At 48.7% G+C, this 21848-nt stretch overlaps 1 protein-coding gene across 1 annotated transcript in view, besides 1 other annotated feature; it reads right to left on the minus strand.

Annotated features, from left to right (window-relative positions):
- Window positions 5885-6321: a transcriptional cis regulatory region, noted in NCBI's record as "H2 fragment used in the reporter construct". NCBI's record gives its function as "negatively affects activity of a beta-globin enhancer-driven SV40 promoter in transfected K562 erythroleukemia cells {active_cell/tissue: K562}" and the evidence as "EXISTENCE:reporter gene assay evidence [ECO:0000049][PMID:30886051]".
- Window positions 9645-21848, minus strand: part of NPFFR1 (neuropeptide FF receptor 1) — a 36676-nt gene continuing 24472 nt past the window's right edge. Inside the window, exon 4 of the mRNA NM_022146.5 lies at window positions 9645-18143. Coding sequence (NP_071429.1) covers window positions 17273-18143 — 871 coding nt within the window. The 3' untranslated portion in view covers window positions 9645-17272. The remainder of the gene's footprint in view (window positions 18144-21848) is intronic.

Consider the following 21848-nt stretch of genomic DNA (forward strand, 5'->3'; position numbering starts at 1 on the left):
AGAGACTGGATGTGGTGGTTCATGCCTGTAATCCCAGCACTTTAGGAGGCTGAGGAGGACGGATCACCTGAGGTCAGGAGTTCAAGACTAACCTGGCCAACATGGTGAAACCCCGTCTCTACTAAAAATACAAAAATCAGCTGGGCGTGTTGGCACGTGTCTGTAATCCCAGCTACTCAGGAGGGTGAGACAGGAGAATCGCTTAAACCCAGGAGGCAGAGGTTGCAGTGAGCCAAGATCACGCCATTGCACTTCAGCCTGAGCAACAAGAGCAAAACCTCTGTCTCAAAAAATAAATTAAATAAAATAAAAAGAAGCCACTCTCCTGCGCACACCTTTGCCTCAGGGCAGCCAGCCCTTCCTTCATCTTCATGAAATGAAGTTTTTTTTGTTTGTTTGTTTTAGTATTTATTGATCATTCTTGGGTGTTTCTCAGAGAGGGGGATGTGGCAGGGTCATAGGATAATAGTGGAGAGAAGGACAGCCGATAAACACATGAACAAAGGTCTCTAGTTTTCCTAGGCAGAGGTCCCTGCGGCCTTCCGCAGTGTTTGTGTCCCTGGGTACTTGAGATTAGGGAGTGGTGATGACTCTTAACGAGCATGCTGCCTTCAAATATCTGTTTAACAAAGCACATCTAGCACCACCCTTAATCCATTTAACCCTGAGTTGACACAGCACACGTTTCAGAGAGCACAGGGTTGGGGGTAAGGTTATAGATTAACAGCATCCCAAGGCAGAAGAATTTTTCTTAGTACAGAACAAAATGGAGTCTCCTATGTCTACTTCTTTCTACACAGACACAGTAACAATCTGATCTCTCTTTCTTTTCCCCACATTTCCCCCTTTGCTTTTCGACAAAACCGCCATCATCATCATGGCCTGTTCTCGATGGTCGCTGTCTCTTCGGAGCTGTTGGGTACACCTGCAGAAAGGCTGTCACTTCACACTTGGAAGATTGCACAGCGGCCATGCAGAGGCGCTCCTCACCTCCCAGACGGGGCGGCCGGGCAGAGGTGCTCCTCACCTCCCAGACGGGGCAGCCGGGCAGAGGCGCTCCTCACCTCCCAGATGAAGGGCGGCCGGGCAGAGGCGCTCCTCACCTCCCAGACGGGGCGGCCGGGCAGAGGCGTTCCCCATTTCCCAGATGGGGTGGCGGCCGGGCAGAGGCACTCCTCACATCCCAGACGGGGCGGCCGGGCAGAGACGCTCCCCACTTCCCAGACGGGGCAGCCGGGCAGAGACACTCCTCACTTCCCAGATGGGGCGGCTGCCGGGCAGAGGCACTCCTCACTTCCCAGACAGGGCGGCCAGGCAGAGGTGCTCCTCACATTCCAGACGATGGGCAGCCGGGCAGAGGCGCTCCTCAGTTCCCAGACGGGGCGGCCAGGCAGAGGCGCCCCTCACCTCCCAGATGGGGCAGCCGGGCAGAGGCACTCCCCATTTCCCAGATGGGGTGGCAGCTGGGCAGAGGCGCTCCTCACATCCCAGACGGGGCAGCCGGGCAGAGACGCTCCCCACTTCCCAGATGGGGCAGCTGGGCAGAGACACTCCTCACTTCCCAGATGGGGCGGCCAATCAGAGGCGCTCCTCACCTCCCAGACGGGGTGGCCGGGCAGAGGCGCTCCCCATTTCCCAGATGGGGTGGCGGCTGGGCAGAGGCGCTCCTCACATCCCAGATGATGGGCGGCCGGGCAGAGGCACTCCTCACTTCCCAGACGGGGCGGCCGGGCAGAGGCACTCCCCACTTCCCAGACGGGGCAGCTGCCGGGCAGAGGCGCTCCTCACTTCTCAGACGGGGCGGCCGGACAGAGGCGCTCCCCACTTCCCAGACGGGGTGGCTGCTGGGCAGAGGCGCGCCTCACTTCTCAGACGGGGCGGCCAGGCAGAGGTGCTCCTCACCTCCCAGATGGGGCGGCCGGGCAGAGGCGCTCTTCACATCACAGATTGGGGCGGCCGGGCAGAGGCGTTCCCCATTTCCCAGATGGGGTGGCGGCCGGGCAGAGGCACTCCTCACATCCCAGACGGGGCAGCCGGGCAGAGACGCTCCCCACTTCCCAGACGGGGCAGCCGGGCAGAGATGCTCCTCACCTCCCAGACGGGGCGGCCGCCAGGCAGAGGCACTCCTCACTTCCCAGACAGGGAGGCCAGGCAGAGGTGCTCCTCACATTCCAGACGATGGGCGGCCGGGCAGAGGCGCTCCCCATTTCCCAGATGGGGTGGTGGCCGGGCAGAGGCACTCCTCACATCCCAGACGGGGCGGCCGGGCAGAGGCGCTCCTCACTTCCCAGACGGGGCGGCCCGGCAGAGGCGCTCCCCACTTCCCAGACAGGGTGGCTGCCGGGCAGAGACGCTCCCCACTTCCCAGACGGGGTGGCTGTGCAGAGACGCTCCTCACTTCCCAGACGGGGCGGCTGCTGGGCAGAGGCGCTCCTCACTTCCCAGATGGGGCAGCTGCCGAGCAGAGGCGCTCCTCACTTCCCAGATGGGGCACCCAGGCAGAGGTGCTCCTCACATTCCAGACGATGGGCGGCTGGGCAGAGGCGCTCCCCATTTCCCAGATGGGGTGGTGGCTGGGCAGAGGCGCTCCTCACATCCCAGACAGGGCGGCCGGGCAGAGACACTTCCTAGACGGGGTGGCGGCCGGGCAGAGGCTGTAATCTTAGCACTTTGGGAGGCCAAGGCAGGCGGCTGGGAGGTGGAGGTTGTAGCGAGCCGAGATCACGCCACTGCACTCCAGCCTGGGCAACATTGAGCATTGAGTGAGCGAGACTCCGTCTGCAATCCCAGCACCTCAGAAGGCCGAGGCAGGCAGAACAGGAGCTGGAGGTCAGGAGCTGGAGACCAGCCCGGCCAACACGGTGAAACCCCGTCTCCACCAAAAATACAAAAACCAGTTAGGCCTGGCGGTGTGTGCCTGCAATCCCAGGCACTCGGCAGGCCGAGGCAGGAGAATCACGGGAGCCCGAGGCAGGGAGGTTGCAATGAGCCGAGATCACGGCAGTACAGTCCAGCCTCAGCAACAGAGGGAGACCGTGGAAAGAAAGAGAGAAGAGAGAAGAGAGGAGGGAGGGGGAGGGGGAGGGGAAGGGGGGAGAGGGAGAGGGAGAGAGTTGTTTGTTTGAGACGGAGTCTCCCTCTGTCACCAGGTTGGAGTGCAGTGGCGTGATCTCAGCTCACTGCAACCTCTGCCCTCCTGGGTTCAAGCGATTCTCCTGCCTCAGCCTCCCTAGTAGCTGGGATTACAGGCGCACGCCACCACGCCCGCTAATTTTTGTATTTTTAGTAGAGACAGGGTTTCACCATGTTGGCCAGGATGGTCTCAATCTCTTGACCTCATGACCTGCCCACCTCAGCCTCCCAAAGTGCCGGGATTACAGGCATGAGCCACTGCGCCCAGCCAAGGGATGAGTTTTAAATGAGCAAAGACAATCATGATTGCCAGTGATTTTTTTCAGTCATGTAAATGTGATACAGTACTGTCCCTCTAGCAGGGAAGGCTGCTAGAGGGTTTCTGGAACATTTTTCCTTTATCTTAGGAAGAGTATAGTTCTGGATGCTTGTTTGAAGTCACAGAGATTTGGGGGCTGTTCGTTACAGCAGCATAATCTAGCAAGAGCTGATTAATACAAATGGCTAACAGTGCTGCAGTTTTCTTATGAGATCTCCACCATGAGGAGAGTTTGCCTGGGAACCAAGCTGCCATGCAGAAATCAGCAAAACAGAAAGATGGAAATAACTTGTGTTCTTAAGATATTATTGGCCAGGCGCAGTGGTTCACGCCTGTAATCCCAGCACTCTGGGAAGCTGAGGCGGGTGGATCATGAGGTCAGGAGATCAAGACCATCCTGGCTAACACGGTGAAACCCCGTCTCTACTAAAAATCCAAAAAAGAAAAAAAAATTAGCCAGGCATGGTGGCAGGCGCCTGTAGTCCCAGCTACTCGGGAGGCTGAGGCAGGAGAATGGCATGAACCCAGGAGGCAGAGCTTGCAGTGAGCCGAGATCGTGCCACTGCACTCCAGCCTGGGCGGCAGAGCAAGACTCCATCTCAAAAAAAAAAAAAAAAAAAAGATATTTTTGAGCTACTGATTTAACTAACCCCGGAACTACTTTGCCTCTGAACTTCTTGTCTCATTAGATAATAAATTCCTTCCATTAAACCAGTTTAAATGGAAAGTTTCTATGACTCAAAACCAAAAATATCTTGGGTAAGACAGACTGGTAGCTTGAAAAAGGAGTGAAATTCTGACACATGCTACAACATGGATGTAACTTGAAGACATGAACTTTCGCCATGTTGGCCAGGCTGGTCTTGAACTCCTGGCCTCAAATGATCCACCCACCTCAGCCTCCCAAAGTGCTAGGATTACAGGTGTGAGCCACGGTGCCCAGCCAAGACTACATTCTCTTCTCATGTTCTTCCTACTTCTTTGCTACTCATTTCTCATTCTCCCTCTCAGCCTTCTTCATTTCATCGTCTTAATCATCGTCTTTCTTATTTCTCATGTTCTCTCTCGAGAGAGAGAGATACTGTCTGTCTAGGTTATCTCATGGATATCTTTAGTGTCAACTATCACCTAGAGGTCCTATAACATGAAAACTTTCAAATTTATATTGAAATCTGTTATTATGTTCAGTGAAATAAGCCAAACAAGAAAACGGCCAATAGTGTGTACCTCCACTTACATGAGGTACCTAGAATAGTGGAATTCATAGAGACAGAAAGAAGAGTGGTGGTTGTCAGGGCCTGGAAGGAAGGAGGAAAAAGTAGTTATTGTTTAATAGATGTGGAGTTTCAGTTTGCGGAGATGAAAAAATTCTGGAGGCTGGGTGCCATGGCTCACGCCTGTAATCCCAGTACTTTGGGAGGCCGAGGTGGGTGGATCACTTGAGGTCAGGAGTTCAAGACCAGCCTGGCCAACATGGCAAAACCCCATCCCTAATAAAAATACAAAAAATTAGCTGGGCCTGGTGGTATGCACCTGTAGTCCCAGCTACTCGGGAGGCTGAGGCAGGAGAATCACTTTAACCTGGGAGGCGGAGGTTGCAGTGAGCCGAGATCGTGCCACTGCACTCCAGTCTAGGCAACAGAGCGAGACTGTCTCAAAAAAGAGAGAGAGAGAGAGAGAGAGAGAAAGAAAAGAAAGAAAGAAAGAAAGAAAATAAGTAAGTTCTGGAGATGGATGGTGGTGATGGTTGTAAATATGAGTGTTCATGCCACTGAACTGTACATTTAAAAATGGTTAAGATGGTTAAAAAAACAATTATAAAAGCAAATATATCTTTTTTCCAAACAAAGTTTGAGACATCTGAGATTAAGTTACTCCAAACTTTGTACATAGGATGGTGTATCAACTAAAGTCAACCAGAGAAACAAAAGCTACTCAAAGTGTTTAAGACAGGAACTTTAAGGCAGGGAATTGGTCAACAGGTAATAGAAGAGTTGAGAAACCAAATAGAGATTGGCAATGGCAGGAAGCCACTATCATCTTTAGGCTGGAGAGATGGGAGGAAGAGGCACAGTCACCCAAAGGGAGGAGCGCAGGGTCTCTGGGTGGAGCTGGCAGCACAGTGGGCCTGTTCATCTGTACAGAGTTGCTGCTGGAGATGCTGCCTAGGGCAGAAAAGGAAGGGAGACACACCCCTTCCCTTCCTCAACCACTCCAATCTCCTGCCTGTGTCTCCATTGGCTGGGCCCCAGTGGAAGCCAGCTGTGTTAGTCAACTTTTACCTGTTTATGCTGCTGTAACAAACAATATAAGAAATCTCATTTGCTTATGCGAATGAACACATATTTCTTGTTCAGGTTACATGGTGGTGACAATGGGTCAGCTATGGTTCTGCCCCATCTGCCTTCGTGTTCAGCTCAGGCTGAAGAAGTATCCACCATCTTGGTCTTGCTGCAGAGGGAAAAAAGAAATGGCAAACTGTACAATGGCTCACAAGCTTTTGCTCAGAAATGGTATATGTCACTTTCACTCATTCTATGCACAAAGTCCTATGACTTTGGGCATGGACATATGAATACTTCTCCTCTAGGGGGAACTACAAATGCGTAACCATGTTTAAGACTGTATAATCCTCTTACAGGGAGAGAAGCAATTAACTGGGAACAATAATACCCTCTATTACAGCCCACCTTCTTAGTCATAAATGTTCATCTCTCCCTTTTCACAGGAAAAACATACTCACTCTCCCTAAAGAGTAACGCCCGAAAGTCTCAAACAATCATGGTATCAAGTTTAGTATCTCATGATAATTTCCACATTATGTCCAGATACTGCTCCTCTTCATCCAGAGATGTATGAACTCAAAAACAAGCAAATGTTACCTATCACCCCACATCTGTATCTTTTTATTGTTGTTGTTTTTAAGACAGGATCTCACTCTGTCACCTAGACTGGAGTTCAATGGCACAATCTCAGCTTATTGCAGCCTCAACTTCCCAGGCTCAAGTGATCCTCCCACCTCAGCCTCCCAAGTAGCTGGGACCACAGGTGCATGCCACTACACCCAGCTAATCTTTTATAGAGAAAAGGTTTCCCTACCCCACATCTATATCTGACATGCAATGGCCAAAGACAGAATAAGCACTGAGATTAACACTCCCATTCATAAACAGAAAGAACATCAGTGGTTCTTAGAATTCCACATCTTTCTGTGTCTAGGAAATGTTCTTTCATTTGGTCCCAGTTCAGCTACCTGGAAGTAGCCCCCGTTATCATTCTTCGGGGCTCTTGGCTTTACCCTCTGCATTATCCTTCTTGGCCATATCTATTATAGAAAATATCCACTCCATGAGGATTGAGTCGCTTTCTCAGCCTCCTTCCTGCCCACAGAAACTTCAGAGCCCAAAGGTTTTTCCCCAACAGTCATAGTCCCTTTTAAGCCAGGCTGGTGTGTCTTTGGCTTCACAATGCTCTTGAAAGCTTGGATAGTGCTTTACCTGTCTGATTCTAGTCAAAATTGTGTGTCAATCACCACACCTATAATTCTTTGCTTTCTGGGCATGATTACTAAGGTAACTTGAACAGGCTTCCATGGGAGAACCATGCCTTTGGTCTGTTTTCCCTGAGCCATTTTATCCAACAAAGGACTCACTAGGAGGTGTTGCTCAGCCCCTTGGTCTGTCCCAAGGCTAAGTTTTAAGTTGAGACTTAATCAGCTTCGTAAATCAAAGCATTTCTCAATATCTGCCTTTATTGGTTGGAGATGAACAACAGTTGCATCTATCAACCCTGGAACTTCTGGATTCTCTCTTTTTCCTTTCATCCCTGCTTACAAATCACCAAGTTCTTTTCTGAGTTCATCTGTTTATTGTGGAATCCTGTCAAACGCAGCTGAAAGCAACCAAGTCACACTAATAATAATCTGTTTCCCACCTCTCTAAAATCATAAGCTATTTAGTATATTGTTTGTCTTCCAGGTGGTCAAAGGCTACATTTTCTTTGCTGCCTACCACTGGGCCCCAAAGCCAACAATACACATTTTAGGACAGCATTCTGCTCTTGGTACCAATTGCTCTATTAGTTTTTCTAGAGAATATTGTGGTAACAAACAACCCCTTCCCCCAGTTCAAAAGTGAATTCACCATTTCTCCCTTGAGTCTTCTATCTCAGTTAATGAGGCAGTATCTGCCCAGTCAGCCAACCTGGAAGTTCCTCTGGGCTCTTCCTGGTTGACCTCTGCAGCAGCCACTGGTGGTACCCACCTAACACCTGTTCACTCTCTCTTCCTCCTTTCTAACAGTACTCTGCTCAGAGACATGCCTCCACCTACCACCCCTAACTCAGTGCCATCCCCAGCCCTGGACACGGATCCTGATCAGTCTAAGTTCATCACAGTTGTTTCATTCCTCATGCCCGTGACTGGTTTGGTCACGGGTATGTGACACAGTTCTGGCCGTAGCAATGTAAGGGGAGCTGTGAAAGAGGCTTCTGGGAAAGGATCTCTTGCATCTATGAGAGATACATAGGAGGAGGCCCACTCTTCTTCTGTTGGACATTGTCATAGAAATTTGCCAACCACTGCCTTACAAGCTGGAAGAGAGGTAGACTTAGGTAATATTGATAAATCTACAATGAAGATGCATAGTGGGAAAACTTTAACTCTTGATGGTGTCATTAAACTGCTGAATTAACAACCCTGGAGCTTCCCTTCCTCAGGTCTTGTAATGTGAGATAATAAATTGACTTTGTTGTGCTGTCCTGTTTAAACCAGTTTGATTCAGGGTATTCTGTTTCTTGCAGCTGAAAAACATTCTAATGGATACAACTTCTCAACAGCCTTTCACCCTTTCCCCAGACTAATTAAACTGGGGATTGACTCTAGGTCCAGGGTGGGCATTGATTTGTCCAAATCATTATAATCTCATCTTCATTAACTGTTCAGGAACCCCATCCCAGAACATGGGATTCAGAATGTGGCATTCCCCTGGCCTTAGGGATGGGTTCAGGAATAGGTACCTCACCTAATAATTTGAGCCATTGAGAGTTTGCCACTGCTTGCTCTTAGAGAAACTCATGATGATAGAGATTCCTGTCCCCTCCCCGCTTCTCTGAGTCGATGTAAACAAGGAAGCAAGGAGCTTTGATTGCTAGTGGCCACATTCTACACCCTGAGGGAAGCCAGACTGAGGATGAAGGTCACGTGGGGTAGATGGAAGAGCAGAGGAATGGAGATGACCTGGGTCCCTGAAGACATTGTTGAGCCCCTGGACCAACCAGTCCTCTGCACTTAGCTGTTATGTGAGCCATTATATTCTTTTTAGTTTAAGCCAGTTTGAGTCAAGTTTCTGTTACTGGCAACTAAAAGCATCATAGGTGATGACCCATCCTGCCACATCCTCCCAGGCCAGGCAACATTGAACTGATCTGTCAAACATCTCTTGAATTTGTTGTTTCTTCTCTATCCCTATTGCCTTAGCCAATCCCAGATTTCTCACCTGAATGCCTGTAAATACCTCCGGCCTTACTGGCCTCCAGCTCCCTTTCCCTTTAGTGTACTCTACATGCTGCCAACATTAGCTCTAGAAGATGAAGGTCTCCGTGCATCCCTTTCCTGCTTCAAACCCTCATCTCTAAGTGGTGGTCCCAAACTCAGTCTCTAAGACTTATTTCAGGCTTCTTATGGGAACCCTTTTCTGACACCCCTCTGGCTGTTCCCTAACTTTTTTGACCGACCATGGTACCTGATTGTAGGTTTTTCTGTTTTCTGTCTCTGCTCACTGGACTGTGGAGAGGTCCAATGTTCCCAGACTCAACAGACACTAAGTATGTTGAGTTCATGTTAACATGCTAGAATTAAGTTTCACCTAAACTGTCACAAATATTTATAAATGTGGAGTTAACAAAACAGGTAATTTGGTGTTGTGTTAAGAACACTGGTCTGCCATCCACAAAGCCTAAAATGTTGTTTTGCTGTCAACACTTAGGAGCTATGGGGCCCTCAGTAATATGCCTTCGCCTCCATGCAACTTAATTACCCATCCGCAAAATGGAAATACTGCAGTTATGTTAGTGGTCACATAGCCTACTCTCTACCTTTTTGGAAAGGATCGCTATTTTGCCTGAAAACTTCATTCACAGTGAGGAAGCAAAAGGGAACAACTACTAATGCAATGGAGCGTAAAAAGTAAACAACTCTTTCATAATGAGTTTATTTTCCATAATTTATAGCATAGGTAACAGAATCATTTTGCAAAGACACGGACTAGAGAAGAATAAAAGAGGCAATTATGATCATTAGAGGTGGCTTCGGAGGACCACGAGACAGCACTATGGACAAACAAAATGCACTACACAACATACTCCTCCTGGGGGGCAGTCAAAACACAGAAATGTAGATCGCTCAGTCACTGAAACGGATTGACTTGGCTGTTCTAACTTCCACACCGAAAGGAAGACAGGGTGGTGATGGGGGGAGAGTGATTACTCCTCAAACAGAGAGTGATTTAACACCACCACTGGCTATGTGACAGATAAACTAATTTGCCCAAATCACTAAGCTTGGGTTTTTCCACCCACATTAATTTGGTTGCTTGCACATGACAACAGCATCATTTATTGGTGACAGGATTCAAAGACCTGGGCATTGCAGCTAGCAGGAGAACACAAACAACTCAAGGCAGGACGCTACAGCCAGTTCAGCAGCTTTTGCTCCTTCAGTGACCACAGTGCAGGGGAGCCCGTGGCTGCTTTGAGGGCTTGATGTGGTATTGAGTCAAACTAAATTTAAACCTTTTACCTAAACTGCTGGTATTCCTTCTATCCCAAATCTTTGGAAGCCATTGAAAGTGATGCAAATGTGTCTCATGGCCAAAACAGCAGCCTGGAGCCTGTGGCTGGCTGGTTTTATTTTTAGGATTATGGGAGACCTCCATCAAGGCTCTTTCTTTTACTCTGAACCTCAGTTTCCCAGATGTAGGAAGGAGAGACCACAGCAGCTTGGGGAATGGCAAAAACCTGGACTTTGTGGTCAGATAGACTAAGGTTTGAGTCTCACCTTCAGGACCTCCTGGTTATATAACCTCCAGTAAGTTACTTTACTTCTCTGAGCCTTGCTTTTCCAATCTATTGTATGGGAATAATAATAAATACCTGCTTAGTTAATTACTTCATTCATTCAACAGACATTTATTGAGTGCCTCCTATGCACCAGGCAATATCCTACCTGAATCCACAAAGGTAAGTGAAATAGACATAGTTCCTGTCCTCATGGAGCTTATGGTCCACTGTGAGAAATAAATAACAGACACAAAGTACGTAGTACTATGCCTGGCGTTTTTTTTTTGTTTTTTGTTTTTTTTTTTTTTTTTTGAGATGGAGTCTCACTCTGTTGCCCAGGATAGAGTACAGTGGCGCTATCTTGGCTTACTGCAAACTCCGCCTCCCAGGTTCAAGCAATTCCCCTCCCTCAGCCTCCCAAGTAGCTGGGATTACAGGTGCCTGCCATCATGCTTGGCTAATTTTTGTATTTTTAATAGAGATGGGGTTTCACCATGTTAGCCAGGCTGGTCTCGAACTCCTGACCTCAAGTGATCGACCCACCTCGGCCTCCCAAAGTGCTGGGATTACAGGCATGAGCCCCCATGCCTGGCCTATGCCTGGCTTTTAATAGACACTGAATACATGTTTTGAGTTAACCAGAAATTTAATTATTGAAATTCAATAGCATTTTGATATCTACTAATTCCTTTTTCAGTTATCCCACTCCTCCCTTAGAACCTGTGTACATGATGCTCTCTCTGTCTGGGTTTGTTTCTTCCCCAGCTAGTCACATGGCTCCCTCTCTCACTTCATATCTGTACTCAAACATCACCTCTTCACAGAGGCCATTCCTAACCATCTGTTCAAATAGCCCTCCTACTTCTATCACACTATATCCTCTTACCTTGCTTTAGACCCATTCTTAATGGATTTAAAAATCATTGGTGGAGCATGGTGGCTCGCGCCTGTAATCCCAGCACTTTGGGAGGCCGAGGCGGGCAGATCATCTGAGGTCAGGAGTTCAAGACCAGCCTGGCCAACATGGTAAAATCCCATCTCTATTAAAAATACAAAAATTAGCTGGGTGTGGTGGCAGATGCCTGTAATCCCAGCTACTCAGGAGGCTGAGGCAGGAGAATCGCTTGAACCTAGGAGGCAAAGGTTGCAGTGAGCCAAAATCACGTCATTGCACTCCAGCCTGGGCAACAAAAGCAAGACTCTGTCTCAAAAAAAAAAAAATTATATTCACAAAAAAATCCCTTAGAGTTAGGGCAAGTTTTTGTGCTAAAGTCTCTACAATAAAATATTATTATTATTATTATTATTTGAGATGGAATCTCACTCTGTCACCTAGGCTGGAGTGCAGTGGCGCCATCTTGGCTCACTGAAACCTCTGCCTCCCAGGTTCAAGTGATTCTCCTGCCTCAGTCTCCCAAGTAGCTGGGATTACAGGCGCACATCACCACACCTGGCTAATTTTTGTGTTTTTGGTAGAGATGGGGTTTCATCACGTTGACCAGGCTGGTCTCGAACTCCTGACCTCAGGTGATCTGCCCACCTTGGCCTCCCAAAGTGCTGGGATTACAGGTGTGAGCCACCGCACCCAGCCAAAATCATGTTTTTAAAAGAAAGATTTGAAGATACTTTACAATAAAAGATATAAGAATGCAGTAAGCACACAAAAAGATGCCCAGCATCACTAGTCATCAGGGAAATTTTCTTTTCTTCTTTCTTTCTTTCTTTTTTTTTTTTTTTTTGAGACAGTCTTGCTCTGTCACCCAGGTTGGAGTGCAGTGGCGCAATTTTGGCTCACTGCATCCTCTGCCTCCTAGGTTCAAGTGATTCTCGTGTCTCAGCCTCCCAAGTAGCTGGGACTACAGGTGTGTGCCACCATGCCTGGCTAATTTTTGTGTTTTTAGTAGAGATGGGGTTTCCCCATATTGGCCAGGCTGGTCTTGAACTCCTGACCTCAGGTGATCTACGCACCTCAGCCTCCCAAAGTGCTGGGATTACAGACGTGAGCCACCACACCTGGCCTGGAAATTTTCAAAAGGCTAATACTGCTAAGTGTTGGCCAGGATGTAGAACAACTGGAACATTCATACACTGCTGATGGGAGTACAAAATGGTAGAGCGACTTTGGAAAGCACTTTGGCAGTTTCTTATACAGTTAAATTTTACACAGACCATGCAACCTACCAATCTCGATCCTAGGTATCTACCCAAGAAAAATGGAAAACATACATACACATACATATAAGGACTTGTACATGAATGTTAATGGCAACATTATTAATAATAGCCAAAAACTGGTGACAACCAAATGTCTATCAACTGATGAATGGATAAACAAAATGTGATCTATTCATACAGTGGAATAGTACTCAGCAATCAAAAGGAAAAACTACTGATACATGCTACAGCATGAATGAATCTTGCAAACATCATTTTAAGTGAAAGAAACCAGACTCGGCTGCAAACTGTCTGATTCCATCTACATGACATTCTGAAATCAGATCATCGTTTTCTGGAATCAGGAGCGTGGGAAAGGACTGACTATAAATTAGCACAAGGAAACATTTTAGGATGATGAAAATATCTTCAGTGTGGTAGGGACATAACTATATACAACTGTTAAAACTCGTCAAGCAGTACACTTAAGACGGGTGAATTTTTTCATATTCAAGTTCTGCCTCAATAAAGCTGTTCCAAGAATGTTAAATATATTGAGAGATATATGCACAGAAAAGGACGCTATACTTGTCTCTTGCGGTAGGATTTTGGGTGCTTTTCATTTTCTTGTCTTTGCTTATTGAAATCTTGTAAAATTTCCACAATGATTATGTAGAGCTTTTGTAGAGAGAGAGAAAAACAACAATAAAATGCCATGATCATAAATAATTGGGTTATTCAACAAGGAATGTATTGTTCATTCAACATTGTTCATTGTAATGAAGCCCATTTAGACCGCCTCCTTCTCATCTATCTTTCATCAGTGACACTTCTGAGGGGTGAGCTGAGGAAACGGGTGCAAAAAGGTACAGAGCTTAATAGCAATCCTTTGTCCATCCAGCTCTGGGCTTGGCTCTCGCCTTGCTTTTTGGATGAATACACAGTAGACTAATGATAGGGGGGCTCTCATCTTCCTTTGCCAACTTCGCCCTCCATTCCAATGCAGATCAGCTCATGAGTCCTCCAGGCCCCAAGAGAGACTCCTCAGCACAGGGCTGGGCAGACTGTGGTTTGTGGGGTGCAGGCCCGGCATCCGCCTCCAGCTCACATTGGTCTGTTGGGTGCTGCCTGGTCTTGGTAAAGTCAAGAGGCCATTCATCAGTGGAGAGCCACAATGAGGGTGACCACTCATGCCGCACATGGCAGGACAGGACACAGAGTCCCTCCAGGAGGCCCTCTGGGTGGGGATGCTCAGTGTCAACAGGCCTCTGGCCCTTTTCCCCCATCACGCATGCCGTTCATCTCCGAACTTGCCGCTTATGAAAGGGCAGTCACCTTAGGAAACCCAGCCAACCTGGAGGTGGAGGATGGCGTGTCAGGAATGGTCCACACCACTTGCCCGTGGGCGCCTAGGCTGCACAAGGCCCCGTCAGGGTCCAGGTGTCAGAACATAGGAATCCAGTGAGGATAATAAATCTATAATTATAAAATAGCTTCATAAAAACATCTTGTAGAGGAAACATACAATTTTCTAGCCACTCTAGTCAGGAAGTAAAGCCCAGCAGAAGCCCAGAGCAGCTGGGGTGGGCACAGGGAAGTGAGACACATCACAGCTGTCCTGGAAGCCTCTGTTTTGTCAGCCATAAAGGGTAAGTTGGGAGAGACCCTGGTTCCCAACCTGGGGTCTCTGTCCTCAGGATTCACACAGGCACTATTGTCAGGAACTACTTCTAGCATCTAAAAACTCCATACATTATTCACAGTAGCCAAAAGATAGAAACAACCTAAGTGTCCACTGATGGATGAATGAACAAAATGAGGACTATCTAGACAATGGGATATTATTCAGCTTTTAAAATGAAAGAAATTCTGACACATGCCACAACATGGATGAACCTTGAAGACATTGTGCTAAGTGAAAGAAGCCAGTCAAAAAGGATAGTATTGTATGATTCCTCTTGTATAGAAGTACCTAGAGTGGCCAAATTCACAGACAGAAAGTAGAATAGTAGTTACCAGGGGCTAGGAGGAGAGGGGATGCGGTGATATTGTTTATAGATACAGAGTTGCAGTTTGGGATAATAAAAAATTCTGAAAATAGATAGTGGTAATGGTTACACAACAATGTGAATATATTTAATTCCAGTCCTGTACACTTAAAAATGGCCAAAATGGTAAATTCTATATTATTTATATTTTACCACATCCACAAAGAAACGAACTCCCCACATACCCACAATGTCTCACTGCTTCATTAAAGCATTGTCATGCCTGTTATCACTCAGATCTGAATGGGCAGGTATAGCCTCTGATTGATTTTTTAGAAGAAACAAAAATAACAGCAAAATATGTTAATTGTAACCTTCAGCGAGAGCTGAAGGAGTTTTTTGGGCAGTTATAACCTTTCAAAGCATGACATCTTTTGGGGGAAGACAAAGGGGCTGTGATGGAAAGGTTGGCTTGAGTGAGTACTTTGGTATCCCTACCCGCCCCCAGCCTCAAATGCTGATCTTGTACTTGGGGAGGCTATGCTAAAGGAGAAACACACCCCAGAGGAGACACCAGGTGGTGTCTTCAGACAATTCCCACCCAGCCATAGGGATAGGCATTTTGGGTTTGAGACGGCCCTTTCTCTGGCTTACTTTTAGAGCCTGGAGTCAGACTTCTTCACAACAAATAGCCCAGAACCAGCTGGGAACTCTCTGGCCCATATGACACATGACACTGATACAGTACCAGAAATGCATGGCACCAGCTAATACCACTGAGGGGCAGGAGGGCATACTCTCTCTCAGACCCTCATCCATCACCCCCAGAACCAGGACAAGGTCATGATGGCTCTTGGCAGCCTGCTCAGCACCAGGGCAAGAACAACTCAGGCTGGACATTACGAGAGTAAACACAATAGATTTCTTTCCCAGACCAAGAGCTTGGGCACCAGGAGTGGGCATTCTGGTTCACTGTTAGGCAAAAAAGCCTTTGGGGAAATTACCAGCTCTCCCGTCATCCCCACCTTCCTTGAAAGGCAGCATGTGGGGTGGGAAGAACAATCAGAAGACAAATTTTAATCTAAATCCTGCCCCTCTGTGGCCCTGGAAACTTGGCCCCTTTGAGCTTCAGTCACTTTGTGAAATGACAATAACATTCAATCTCCTTCAACCTCATTACTATGGATTAAATGAGACGGTGTCTGGGGACATGCTTGGAGAATGTATTGTACAACTGCTTAGGAATTTTCTTCTGCCCCTAAACCTGGAACTTAGAGTGGAGCAAACAGTAAACAGTCACTGTGTGTCGGTTAAGGGAACAGAGCCTCAGAGCCCCGACCCCTGGAAACGTTTCTTTTTTGTTTACTAAATTTCTAGCAACACCGTGTTTTCTACAGAGGTGGGGGGAAATGTCCATTTAAGTGCAAGATGAAGGGGCCTGTGAAAGGACCCTCCAAGGCAATCCCATGTGCTCCCGTCTCCTGGAAAGAAGCCACATTTCTTCAAGTTGATGCAGGGGTGTTGGGGGAAAGCCAGAGTAAACAGGGCTCTCCTGGTACCTCCTTAGAGTACACAAGTCATTTGTGCTGGGGAAGAGTTTAGTGTGTGTCCTTCAGGAGTCTCCAAATGGCACTCCGGCTGCAGCTTCAGTTGACCAACTTCTCCCTCCCAGGAAGCAGGGAGGAGAGAGACCTTGGGCAAGGCTTTGTACCTGCAGCCCCAGTGAGCAGATGTGTTTCCCAATGTGGAAAATGCATACCGTGCTTCCCCTTCCTCGTTGTCTATGAGTACGTAAAAGGACACCTCCTGTGGCCCTGCAGCATTACAATGTCTGTGGCATTGTAAGTTCTTGCCTTGGTCTGGGAGTCCCTCCTCTGTTCTCTAAGCTCAGACCCAGAGGGCAAGACCTAGAGTGCCCTGCAACTGAGGCAGCCTCCCCAAGGCTCGTTCTGAAGCTGCCGTCCTCTGAGGACAATGGCTTCTTGGAACTTCTTGGAACAAACAAGACAAACCAACACATTAGAGCCGGCAGCGGGGGCACACCGTGTTCTTCTAGAAAAGGATCAAGGGGAGTGGCTTCAGTAACGGAACATGAGGGACTCCCTCACATGGACACAAAGCATCAAGGGACAGGCCGGCTTTGCTTTTCGCTTCTTCCTAGCTGCCTAATTAGGACTTACTCAGTTCACAGTGTTCTACCTTACCGGGCCCTCTTGGAGCCAGCTGGAGATGATAAAAACCACACAGGTATTGGAGTCAGATAGCTTCACATGCCATTTCCACCTGAGAAACTTGGGTGAGTCACATCTCTCCAGGCCTCAGTTTTTGCATCTGTAGAAGGAAGAGAAGACAACCTATCTCCAAAGCGTTGTGACAATTCAGTGAGATGATGTTTGTCAAGCCCACCACACAGGGCAAGTTGGTTCCTTCCCGTCCCCCGCATTTGCCTCTACTGAGGGTGAAGGCAGCAGAGAAGACATCACCAGCAGCTGCCCACCACTGCCTGGCTCTGGAGAGGGAGGGACCACGCATCCTCACCTAACCACACCAGGCCGCTATCGCCTGCATGTATCTCGTGTCCAATCGGGGCCCTGAGGCAGCGTCCCGCCCTCCCTGGACCCCCTCAGATATCCCAGGCTGGAATGGTGAGGGGCAGGTGGGAGCAGCCAGGCCCTTCCCTGGGCAAGCCGTGGTGAGCCACCCGCCCATTCCGCAGCGGGAGGCGGCCGGGCCTGGGGGCCCCACTGCTAGGGCCCGACTCAGAGGGCAGCCCGGAGTCGCTGGGCCGCACCACCACGAAGACCCGCCTGTGCAGAAGCCCGCCGGGCCGCTCGGAGTAGGCCTCCTTGTGGCTCCCCGACGGGCGCGGGCAGAGGCGGGCGCGGAAGGCGGCCTGGAAGCCGCGGCGGAAGTTCTCGTTGAAGTAGCCGTAGATGATGGGGTTGGCGCTGCTGTTGAAGAAGGCCAGCCAGTGCGCGAAGGGGAAGGCGTAGACGGTGACCAGGTGCAGCTGCGGCGCGCTGAGCTGCCCGTAGTCGATGAGCAGCAGCAGCGCCCAGAGCGGCAGCCAGGACAGCGTGAAGAACAGCGCCACCATGACCAGCATGTGCACCACGCGCGCTCTGCGCCGCGATGCTCGCGGGTCCGCAGCCTCCTCGCCCCCGGGGGCCGGGCCCGGGGCCTGGCAGAGCTTGCGCGCGATGCGGGCGTACATGACCACGATGAGCGCCAGCGGCGCCAGGTAGATGTGCGAGAAGAGCACAGTGGTGTAGACCCTGCGCATGCCCTTCTCGGGCCAGGCCTCCCAGCAGGAGTAGAGCGGGTAGGAGCGGTTGCGGGCGTCCACCATGAAGTGGTGCTCCTCACGGGTGACGGTCAGCGTGACGGCCGAGGGACACATGATGAGCAGCGCCAGGGCCCAGATGACGGCGATGGTGACGAGCGCCTTCCGCAGGGTCAGCTTCTCGCGGAAAGGGTGCACGATGCAGCGGAACCTGCCGCGGGGAGAGAGACAGGCGGGATCTGGGTGGGTCCTAGGGCCCCTGCGAGGGGACGGTGGGTGGGATGCGGGCACCTGACCTTCATCATCGCATCTAGGGCGGCGTCGAAGAACAGCTCAGACCTGAATTGGCTGAGTAGTCAAAGAACAAAGGCAGCTACAGGATTTATGAGAAGGGAGGAGGAAACCGCAGATCGTGTGGGAACAATGAATCCTGTGTGCACTTTTGCACTTTTCTCCTTTTTTTTTTTTTTTTCCTGAGACAGGGCCTCCTTCTGTCGCCCAGTCTGGAGTGCAGTGGCGCGATTACGGCTCCCTGCAGTCTCCACCTCCCGGGCTCAAGTGATCCTCTCCTCCCACCTCAGCCTCCTGAGTAGCTGGAACCACAGGAATGCGCTGCCACCTCGCCGGCTAATTTCTTTCAATTTTTGGAGAGATGAGGTCTCACTGTGTTGCCCAGGCTAGTCTCAAAGTCTTGGGCTCAAGCTATCCTCCGGCCTCGGCCTCCCGAATTTCTGGGATTATAGATATGAGCCTCCTTGCGGGGCCATTTGTGTACTTTTGGGGGTCAACTGATTAGCTGGCAGCTAGCAGAGCGATCAGAGTGCGCAGTCTGTCCTCGACAAGGACGATTAGGTGCGTCAAATAACACAGTTTCTGTTTATGGATTCTCCAGAAAACCTCAGGAGGTCAGATGTAGAGCCTACATGTCAGGCTGTCCCTATGTCATCTTGGCCATAGTATCAGTATCTCTACAATGCAAGGACAAGTCTGCACCATTTATTTCCTCATGAGGACAACTCAGCATCTGTTATTACACCCTTTATTATTTTTTAAAGGTGAGGCCTTTAAGATAGTTACTACACTGTTGATTTACAGACAAGGAAACTGGGACTCGAGTGTTAAGCAGTTGGCTCAAGTTCACATAGCAAGTTGCAAGGACCAGTCTTGAACCCAGATTTGTCTTGCTTCATATGCCATATAAACCAGTAGCTGTAAACCCTCCATGTGCATGAGACTCTCCTGAAGCATTTCAACAACAAAGACAAAACCCGTGCCTATTTTTTCAGGCCAAGGATTCCAACCTAATTAGTCTAGAAAGTGGTTTTAGCATTATTTGTTATGTGCTGTTTTTGTTTTTAAAGCTCCTGGGGTCAGGTGCCATGGTTCATGCTTATAATCCCAGCACTTTGGGAGGCCAAGGCAGGAGGATCACTTGAACCCAGGAGTTGGAGACCAGCCTGGGAAACATGGTGAAACCCCATCTCTACCAAAAAAATTAACCAGATGAGGGGATGCTTGCCTATTCTTCCAGCTACACAGGAGGCTGAGGCAGGATAATCACTTGAGTCCAGGAGTGTAGGGAAAAGAAAGAGAAATCAGACTGTTATTGTGTCTGTGTAGAAAGGGAAGACATAAGAGACTCCATTTTGAAAAAGACTTGTACTTTAAACAATTGCTTTGCTGAGATGTTGTTAATTTGTAGCTTTGCCCCAGCCACTTTGCCCCAGCCATTTTGACCCAACCTGGAGCTCACAAAAACATGTGTTGTATGAAATCAAGGTTTAAGGGATCTAGGGCTGTGCAGGACATGCCTTGTTAACAAAATGTTTACAAACAGTATACTTGGTAAAAGTCATCGCCATTCTCTAGTGTCAATAAACTAGGGGCACAATGCACTGCGGAAAGCCGCGGGGACCTCTGCCCTTGAAAGCAGGGTATTGTCCAAAGTTTCTCCCCATATGATAGTCTGAAATATGGCCTCATGGGATGAGAAAGACCTGACCGTCCCCCAGCCCAACACCTGTAAAGGGTCTGTGCTGAGGTGGATTAGTAAAAGAGGAAAGCCTCTTGCAGTTGAGATAGAGGAAGGCCACTGTCTCCTGCCTGCCCCTGGGAACTGAATGTCTCAGTATAAAACCCTATTGTACATTTGTTCAGTTCTGAGATGAGAGAAAAACCACCCTATGGTGGGAGGTGAGACATGTTTGCAGCAGTGCTGCCTTGTTATTCTTTACTCCACTGAGATGTTTGGGTGGAGAGAAACATAAATCTGGCTTACGTGCACGTCCAGTCACAGTACCTTCCCTTGAACTTAATTATGACATAGATTCTATTGCTCACAGGTTTGTTACTGACCTTCTCCTTATTATCACCCTGCCCTCCTACTACATTCCTTTCTGCTGAAATAATGAAAATAATAATAAATAAAAACTGAGGGAACTCAGAGACCGGTGCCGGCGCAGGTCCTTGGTATGCAGAGCACCGGTCACCTGGGCCCACTGTTGTTTCTCTATACTTTGTCTCTGCGTCTTATTTCTCTTTCTCAGTCTCTCATCCCACCCGACTTGAAATACCCACAGGTGTGGAGAGGCAGGCCACCCCTTCACAGGAGGTTGAGGCTGAGACTGCAGTGAGCCATGATCAGACCACTGCACTCCAGCCAAGGCAATAGAGCAAGACCTTGTCTCCAAAAAAAAAAAAAGCTCCTGGAGAAGTCTACTGTGCAACCAGAGTTGAAAACAGCTGCTGTAGGGGGAGGTAAAAACCTCCCCCTGCAGCATGGTTCAAAGACGATTGCTCAACTGCAAGCTCTGTGAGGGCAGATGCCTTGACTTTTCATCTCAGTATTCCTAGGTTGTGATTAGATAAATGCATGAATGACCAGAGGGGAAGTTACTCAAAATACTTTCTGAGCCTTAGTTTCCTCATCTGTAAAATGAAGCCCATAGTATGACCTACTCTGTTGGGTAGTTGTGAAGATTAAGTGAGATGACACTGACCACACTTCTTGAGACATTTCAAATGCTTAATAGTGAGGAAAAAGGAGGGGCTCCTATTCCCCAGAATGGCTTCTGTCATCTACTGATGCCAGAAAATAGAAACCTGAAGAATGTCCAGTCAATCTTACTTGTTTAATGGAGGGGAAAGCTTGCCCAGTGGGGGTCTTATGGTCACATGGCTGTTTGGAGTCAGAGCCTGCCCTGGAACATAGGTCTAGAGCTGACTCTCAGTCAAGTGTCCTTTCCACTTCGCTACACTGTGTCCTGCCCTCCTGCCAACCCAGTTTTTGGCCTGATAGCCTGACCTTTTACCTCTCCCACAGCCTGACTCAGGCCTTGTTATCTCAACCTATATGACTTTGACCTACTGGCTTCATACTTCACATACTCAAGAAAGCTCCAGAGAATAGTGGCTTATGTCAGCACTTTGGGAGGCTGAGGAGGGTGGATCACTTGAGGACAGGAGTTCGAGACCAGCCTGGCCAACATGGTGAAACCCTTCTCTACTAAAAAGACAAAAATTAGCCATGCATGGTGGTGCGCACCTGCAATCCCAGCTACTCCGGGGACTGAGGCACGAGAATGGCTTGAACCCGGGAGGCAGAGGTTGCAGTCAGCCAAGATCGCCATGGCACTCCAGCCTGGGTGACAGAGCAAGACTCTGTCTCCCCCCTCAAAAAAAAAAAAGAAAGAAAGAAAGAAAAAGAAATCTCCAGAGAATAAATAATTCTTAAAGCCTGTAGTGCTGGCTATGAATGCAATAGCAGTAAATGGGTGGAGGAGAATCTTGGGGTAATCTGGGCAGGCTTCCTGGATGAGGTGGGACTTGAAGAATACTGCAAACACCACTGGGAGAAGTTGTACACTCTCATTTCCTTCAACAATGATAACAAAACAAAGGTCGATGAAGGGAAGGG

The sequence above is a fragment of the Homo sapiens genome, chromosome 10 (genome assembly GCF_000001405.40).
Source record: "Homo sapiens chromosome 10, GRCh38.p14 Primary Assembly".
NCBI lineage: Eukaryota > Metazoa > Chordata > Mammalia > Primates > Hominidae > Homo > Homo sapiens.